At 41.6% G+C, this 8598-nt stretch overlaps 2 annotated features.

Moving 5' to 3' along the window:
- Positions 1881-3080: an enhancer, noted in NCBI's record as "CDK7 strongly-dependent group 2 enhancer chr11:131211673-131212872 (GRCh37/hg19 assembly coordinates)". NCBI's record gives its function as "activates an origin of replication core promoter dependent on BRD2, BRD4, P300/CBP, MED14 and CDK7 cofactors, with strong dependence on CDK7, by STARR-seq in HCT116 cells {active_cell/tissue: HCT116}" and the evidence as "EXISTENCE:reporter gene assay evidence [ECO:0000049][PMID:35650434]".
- Positions 1970-2470: an enhancer, noted in NCBI's record as "OCT4-H3K27ac hESC enhancer chr11:131211762-131212262 (GRCh37/hg19 assembly coordinates)". NCBI's record gives its function as "activates a minimal SCP1, AML or CMV promoter by ChIP-STARR-seq in primed H9 embryonic stem cells {active_cell/tissue: H9 hESC(primed)}" and the evidence as "EXISTENCE:reporter gene assay evidence [ECO:0000049][PMID:30033119]".

The following is an 8598-nucleotide window of genomic DNA, read 5'->3' on the forward strand; positions in this document are numbered from 1 at the left end:
AAAAAAAAAAAAAAAAAAGAAAGGAAGAAATTTAATTTGAAGAGGTTGGACGTGAAACTTTATCATTTGTCTCTAAGTCCTGGACTGTCTTCTCAGTATGACTTGTGAGCTAGGGAAGTCTGGCCCTGCTCTCTTAGCCTTGTTCCTGAATGAGCTCCCTGATTGGTGACGTGGAAACAACATGTGGTGGAGTCAAGCTCAAAGGAGCCATACATGCCCAAGATGCCCGCTTTCAGTGAGGAGCCCACTGCCATCCCTGTAGTCCATAGCTGAACAGACAACCTTTTCTCAATCTGTCTCCTCACCTGAGCTAACTTTAGTTAGGGGAAAATTTTATATAACCACATTGCTGATATATTCTATTTTTTGCGTAATAAATCTCTATGCCTTAGTCAACAAAAGATGTGTACAAGTAGTAAAATGCATAATTTCTCCCTAAGTAAAAATAGCTTTAATGTGTTAGTTTTCCTGATTATAAACGCAACATGTTTATTGTAAACAATTCAGACAACAGAGACACATATTGAGAGGATACAAACATAACCTTATTTCCCACTCCTGAAAGGCATTCAGCGTTGAGGTCTTGGTGGGCACTCTCTGGGCACAGCCCTCATCCAGCCTGCCCGCATGCCCTGCAGGAGACAGCACTGGCCTCTCTAGCTCTGCTTTTCTGAGCTGGCTGCTTCAGGGGCAACCATAAACACTAGCAAATTTGATCAGTTCTGAGGGGTGGCAATGGGAAAAGAAGAAAATCCTGCCTGATGTGGTTCTAAGCCATCAGTTCTTGACTTTTAGGAGGTCATAGATCTCTTTGAGACTTTGGTGAAAGACATGGATACTTTTCAGAGAAAAAAGCATCGACCTATATTCATAGAATATTTTACATACAATCTTAAGAAACATATGGACTCCCAAACGCCCATCTATAGTTCCCTTGAATATATACATAATAATAATATATAAATAATAATAATATATAGATAATAATATATTGATGGAATATAACATAGATAATATACAGATAATAATATATATAGATAATAATATGTAGACAGATAATAATAATATATAGATAATAATGTAACCTTGAAGCCTTCAAGTTGAAAAGACTCCTGTTGTAAAAGAAAATACAAATGTTCATAACACATGTCATAATCTGTATTTATATATTTATTTATTTACTTATTTAATATTTCTCTCCCCTACTAGATTGTAAGTTTCACAATAGCAGGTACACTTTATGTTGTTCAAAGATGAACACCCAGCGCCCTGTAGGGAATCTGTGTCTCAGTTATCAGTAAAATGAATTAACAGATAAGTGAATGAATGAATGAATGAATGAATGAATGAGTACTTATTGGTGTTCCTTCTGCCACCAGAAGCTACTTAGGTTTTTTGTAAATAGGTGGACTGGCTAGGGAGGTTTAGGGAGAGAGGTGTTTCAATTTACCTTTTCTATACAGATGTAAAAAGAATGGCAGGGTGCGAGACCCTACCTTTAGGGGAGAGATGGCATTGATTGTTTGAAGGATGGTAGTGGCCCAGGTTTTTGAAAACTATGCCCAATGGTCTATCACAGGAAAGTCTTTTCATCTACTTAGGAGAAGTTGCCTTCCCCTGACCCAGGACAGGAAGGCATAACCCAGAATTTCCCATTGTTTTTCCAGGCCCTTGTTCCCATTATATTATTCTAAGTGCTCACTTTTCTCTGAATTCAAGGTCGCAGCTCTCTCTCCCTCGTACTCAGTACCTAGAAGGTCATAGCATATTGTTCACACTCGCTAAATTCCTTACCAGTTACATTTCAATAAGAAACAATGTTCTTTGCTCCAAATAACTGGTGCTGCTCATTGCCAGGTTTGCATCTGAAGAGCTGCTTGGGCTGCATTCCGGTGGGCTCTTTCTCAAGAGAGCCTATGGTTCAGGTTTGAATACATAGTGCAGCAGGGCCTCAGAGAATGGGAGAGGAGCACCTCATTCTCCTGAGATATTAAGCAATGCACACAGCCAGGGCATCATCCCTTAGCCTTTGCTGCATGTCATTATCTTGTTCAGTGTACTCAGCACTAATTGCACAATGAACACAAATGTGCTTGGTGAGCTGCGCGGTGTAAAGCAATAAACTGGATGGGAAGATTAGATCATGGCCACACCATTGGGGTAAGAGGTGCAGGCAGGCAGAGGGGGTGTGGAAGGAGCAGGGACCAGTGGGTGGAGTGACACTGAGTCTCCCCACTGGGAGGCAAGCATTGCTCTTCAAGACCAGACCACAAGAATGGCAAGCATTGCTCTTCAACACCGGACCACAAGAATGGCAAGCATTGCTCTTCAACACCGGACCACAAGAATGGCAAGCATTGCTCTTCAACACCGGACCACAAGAATGGCAAGCATTGCTCTTCAACACCGGACCACAAGAATGGCAAGCATTGCTCTTCAACACCGGACCACAAGAATGGCAAGCATTGCTCTTCAACACCGGACCACAAGAATGGCAAGCATTGCTCTTCAACACCGGACCACAAGAATGGCAAGCATTGCTCTTCAACACCGGACCACAAGAATGGCAAGCATTGCTCTTCAACACCGGACCACAAGAATGGCAAGCATTGCTCTTCAACACCGGACCACAAGAATGGCAAGCATTGCTCTTCAACACCGGACCACAAGAATGGCAAGCATTGCTCTTCAACACCGGACCACAAGAATGCTCTCGTCCCTTGCTTCTTCTTCCCCCTTGACCTCATTGGCCTCTGGGACCTCCTAGCTTTTAACCAGACTGTTAATGCCTAGTACCTAGCAGGCAATCAATAAACACATGCTGATTGCAACTAGAGAATAATTTAATTCAATTATTCAGAAATTTATTGAATTTCTCTCTTCCAGATATTGTACTAGGTGCTAGAGATGAGATGATTTTCCTCTCTAGTTCTAGTCCAGAGAGAAAATTCACCCATAAACAATTTTTAAAAAGTACAATGTCTTAAGAGCTAGAATAGACCTAGACTATTGTTCTATAAAAGTACACAGAAAGAAGTAACTCTTTTGGTTTACAACATCAGGAGAGCATATAAGAAGTGACCCGTGAGGATGTATTTACACAAGCCACATCTATTGACCATCTATGATGTGCCAGGTGTCATGTAAAGCATTAGGGAAAAAAAAGATGCAGAATCATTTTTGTTCTAAAGGGACTTACAGTTTAGTGGGAGAGACAGACAAATGATAAGGCATTCAAGTCTAAGCACTTGTGGTGGATTGTAATGGTGTTTACAAACATTGGTTTCATCCTCTGTAGGAGTGCACATGCCCATTCTTGCCTTGCCTCCCTGAGAGAGGAGTGTGTTTTTCTGCCTCATTGATGTTGGGCTTGGCCATGTAGCTTTCTGTGGCCAGTTGAATGTGAGTATATGCAACCTACCCATGTCCTATCAGAAGCTTTAAATTCTATGGCATTGTTCAACTCAGCCTCTTATGTTCCTGTATCATCTGCCATGAGAAAGGCATGTCTCAGAAGGGGGCTTCCCTTTAGGCTTGAGTCCTAGGAAAGGGGATACATGGAGAAGACCTGAACTTGACCCACAGCCTGAAGCAGAGATTCATCAGCCAGCCTAATCTGCAAACATGCAACAAGGGTAACAAATGATATATATTCTTGTTTTCCCATAAACTGCTGGGACTTCGGGGTTGTTTGTTATGTAGTATATCCTAGTTAAATCTGCCCTAGTACTGTGGTATAATAGAAGTAAGCAGAGAATACGATGAGGAAACATTCAATAAGTTCAAAAGCAAGCCTTGAGCAATGGTCAGCAAAAACTGCTTTGAAGAAGAGATGCATGTAAATTAAGTCCTGAGTAAAGAGAAGTTGGAAGGAGAGGAAAGATGATCAAAGAAGTGGGACGCTCATACAGAGGCTCAAATATAATAGCTAGCATGATATATTCAAGACCATCTGGAAAATGAAGATTGGTTATGAGCTTATGTATGTACAAGGGAGAGTGTGGAGGACAAGCTGGGGAACAGACTAGTGGGAGGTAAGACTGGAGAGGTAAGAAAAACCATCTTATGAAAGACTTCTGGTGCTATGCCAGCAGTTTGGACTTTATATTTTCAACTATATTCATGGAAGCGATTTAGAAGAGGGGGTAGGGGAAGTAACTTGGCATTTGAAAGTGATCATTCTGGCTGCATTTGGAGGATTGGATAAGAAGAGATAGAAAGCCTGAGACAAGGGAGGCAGGTAAGAAGGTGTTGTCATATAGATGAGAGAGACAGTGCAAACAGAGAGAAAAGGGTGCAGTCTGGAGATAGTCAGGGACCAGGATCTAGAAAACTTGGCAGATGATGAGAGGCAAGAGAGAGATGGGAAGGCAAGAGGACTTCTAGATTTCCGGAGGAGCAGTAAGTGGATGATGATGCCGTCATCTCAGCTAGGGAAATTGTGTAGGGATTAGGATTAGGAGTGGGTGATGGGAGAAGAGAGTGAGTTCAGTTTGGGACACACAGTGCTGGTGCCCCTGAGGCATCTAAGTGGAGATATCCTTTAAATGCTGGATCTGAGTCTGGGGCTCAGGGGGAGATCTGGCAAGAGACAGAGACTTGGGAGTTGTTAGTATAGGGATGTGAGAATGGGATTTTGTTTTGCGATTTTTAAAACATGATATGTTTAAATGGTATTAGAAAAGGCCTGGCAAAGAAAAGCAAAGTCGGAGAAGAGGAAAGAGGTGATATAATGAATGGAAGGAAGTCTCTGAGGAGGAAGAAATGTCATCTAGGGCATTGAGGAATGACAGTGGAGAGAGACCCTGGATCCCACGGTGATGGGAATGGGAGGGGACACAGTGCAGGTGGCTGTGGGCACAGAGTTCTCAGAAGAGGGAGAAGAGCTTGACAAATGTTCATGTTATGTTCCTTTGGAGTCCCCACTCAGCACCTTATCAATGAAGCCTCTCTTTACCATCTATTTAAAATATTGATTTGCCCTTTCCCCGCCCCTTCTTCAATTTTCTCCATGACAGCTTCGCTATCAGACATATTCTTTGGTAATGAACTTGATTATTTGTTTACTGTCTGTCCATTCCCAGTGGAATAGAAGCTTCACACGGGCAGGGATTTTTGTCTGTTGTGTTTACCACTATGTTCCTAGCAGCCTCTCACAGCCAGACGCATCCCGGGCTCATAGAAGGAACACGATAAATACCTGCTGAATGGATGAATGAATGAATGAATGATGACTTCTATTTTTCCTCCAGTGAAATGGGAGGCAAAGTTGTCAGCTAACGGCGAAGAAGAGAGTATGACAATGGGGAAAAGACATATCTAAGGAAGGACAGACATATTGTCATGCAACATTAAGGCCCCAGGGGAAGGTAGAGGCCATGACATTGTTTATGAGTTGTGATTTTCTCCAAAGTCTCTCAGCAGTTCCCATATAGAAAGGGAGATGATAGTTGGATAGATCCAGGGTTGAAGCTTTTTCTGGGTCAATATAATGGAAAGAAAGAGGGCAAGAACATTTTGGGAACTTGACAGGAGTAGGGTTGAAATGTTAGACCATGGAGTTTTGCCTAGATAGAGAAAGAAATAAGAACAGAAGGGAACTGACAGATTGGGAAGGAGGAAGGAGCAGCCTTCATGGTAACGAAATTGAGAATTCGAGGCACAGTGCATTGCACATCCTAATGAATGGCGGCAGGCAAGGCATGCCCTGTGTGAGATGGAGCTGAATGAGCAGACTTGACAGGAGGTGCAATTAGTCTCAGCTGGGCAAGGGTCTTACATACCATGCTTAGGGATGGCTCTATGGAAGGGGGTCTACATTTAGAATCAAGACCCAGGTTGAATTTAGACTCTGGAACTTACTAGTGTGTGATCTTTGATGAATTCTTCTCTCTAGGTCTCCATTTTCTTATTTTAAAACTAAGGATAATAATAACATTTTTCTCATGGAACATTTATGAGGATTGAAGGAGATAAGATATGCAAATTCAACTACTATATTTAAGGAAATACTTTAGATGGCACAGACAGTGCATATTGCCTGTATGGAATAAGTGTTCGATAAATATTGGTATTCTATTGTGTTGTTGGTTTGCCCATTTGTTTTTTGTTTTGATAAGTCTTGATTTACACACATATATAGCTCTGGTGGTCATGTGGAAAACACATAGGTGGGAGAGATTGAGTTGCATGTGCAGAGAGGCTGGGAATGTCACAGCCAAGATGGTTGTCTTGGCAGGAAACTGGAAGAAGTGAGAGGTTCATCTGACCTCTCTTTAACTTTTCTGTGTCTAAGGAATTGGGCATTAGGAAAGATGAATTGGATGCCTTATAGCTTATGTTTGAAAGACTGGTCAGATTCAAATCCTGACTCTTCCATTTATTGGATATATGAGCTGGATTAATTACATCATCTTTCAGTTTCATTTTTTCTCATATGCAAGCTAAGAAAGTAAAGTTCACCTCAGAAAGCTACTGTGAGGATAAAATGAAATTATGTATCCTAAGGGCATCTGACAGAGGTCCCATCTGGCACTAAGCAAGTGCTCATTAAATGACAGTAGTGTTTATTGTTGATTTTGTAATTACTGGTGTCCATGAGGTTTCTGAGGTGGGGAAATCTCTGAGTTTTTTCCAACAGGTAAATAGTCATGACCTCTGTAGTTAGAAAATAATACATGGTTAATATATTATTTAGGACAGGTGCTAATCTCCACAACAAAGAGATATTAAATTACAGTGCTATCAACAAAATAGAAATGTATCCCTCTCTCATCTAACAGGCCCACAGGTAGTGGCACAGAACTAGTAGAGCAGCTCTGCCATGCTCGTGTGGCTTCTGCTTCTGAGTCCAAGGCAGCTGCTCCAGTTTATTCACCCCTAAAACTCACAGGGAGTTCCATTGCTACAAGAGGAAGATGGGTAATGGGTAGGAAAGAAAAGAGAACAAGGCACCCCTGGGAAAGGGAAACTGGGTAAGAAAATGGCAAAGGTACATTAATTTTAAGCAACTGGAAGACTTGGAAAATTCTTAGTAAGGTGAGGTTACCTTTTCATCCACCAGAGCTGAATCAGAGGTAGCCTGGTCCATGTAGCTGAATTACAGAGAGCCTCTGAGCCAAAGATCCAAGAAGGGGTTTATCATAGAAGCCTTATAGGTGGATAATCAGGTAGTCTCCAGGTAGGACCATCATCCCAGTTTGCCTAGGACTGCTTCAGTTGTATCAGTGAAATTTATCACTGTCAGTGATAGTTGGTCAACTTATCTCAAGGATTCATTTGTGAAATTTCTTTCCAGTGATTCTTCAGTTACTGCTAAGTAGGAAAGACTTCCTTCCTCCTATCACCACAACAGCAAAACACACACACATACACTCTAACCCCAAACTTCCCTATTGGGTAAAAATGCTATGATCAATCTCTTCTGGAATGATAAGGCTCAAGGAAAAATATAATTTGTTCACTTTTTCCGGCATTCGTATGTACTAATCATATAGCAAGTACTATAACAGGCACACAAGGTAAAAGGACAAATGAGGCATGAACCCTGATTTCAAAATGTTCACAATCAGTTTTGGAAGAGAGATCAGGAAACTGATGATTGCAATAAAATTTGTAAGTGGTAAGTACCATGATGGGAAGAAGCCGGGGATCTGTAGAGATGCAAGGGCAGTATGTCTGGCTCAGCCTAAGGAAAGCAGGGCAGGTTTCCTGGACATAGTCACCTTAAATTCTTACCTGAAGGAGGGTTATTAATTACTCAGGCAAAGTAGCTATTGGAAGGAGGATGGTGTGTAGGGAAAGGAAGTTGTGTAGGAAGAAGAGAGAAGGAAGCTATCCCAAGCAAAGGGGGCAACTGAATGCCTGAAACATAGATTAGGCAAGAACAGACTTCACAGTTGACACTTAAGAAGGAGTCATGTTGGTTGAATGACAACCCCACTTCTAAAATCTCCCTACACTGCCAACTCTCTCCTTGACCAGGGTGCTCTTGCTGTTAGAAGTGCACTGGGATCCTAGTAAGTCACTGAGAAGTGAGATGCTCCTTTTGAAGACTTCATCTTTAACCAGTGCTCAATATTTTGGAAAGCAGGTGAATGAAGTCAATCAGAGTCTAGAAATCTTCCAGGAATCCTGCGTCCATGTCCTCAGCATGTCCAGCCGGTGAAGATGCAAATGCATACCAGAAAACGGGGGCTCTCAAAATGCAAGTGAAGCACATAGGAACTCAGCCTTCTCCCCAGAAATGCCTAATGCCAGCTGCGTATTTTTCTCTAATGGAGCTGTGTTGAGCTGGTGTAGGGTCCAGGAAAGTTATGAAGTTAGAGGATCTTCCCATGTTTTCCATGAGTAACACAAAGTATTGACTAAAACAATTTGTTAATAAAATTACACATTGCTATGATCAAATCCAATCAAAATCTTAATTGATATTTATATTAACATTTGCCAGAACTCAAATTGAGTGAGCTTCTCCTCCTGGAACCAGGTCCTGCCCTAGTCCAGGCCTCATGTTATTCATCTCTTTTATCCTGGCTGCATACTTTTTTTTTTTTTTTTTTTTTTTTTTTTGAGATGGAGTCTTGTTCTGTTGCTCAG

Source organism: Homo sapiens, chromosome 11, assembly GCF_000001405.40.
Source record: "Homo sapiens chromosome 11, GRCh38.p14 Primary Assembly".
NCBI lineage: Eukaryota > Metazoa > Chordata > Mammalia > Primates > Hominidae > Homo > Homo sapiens.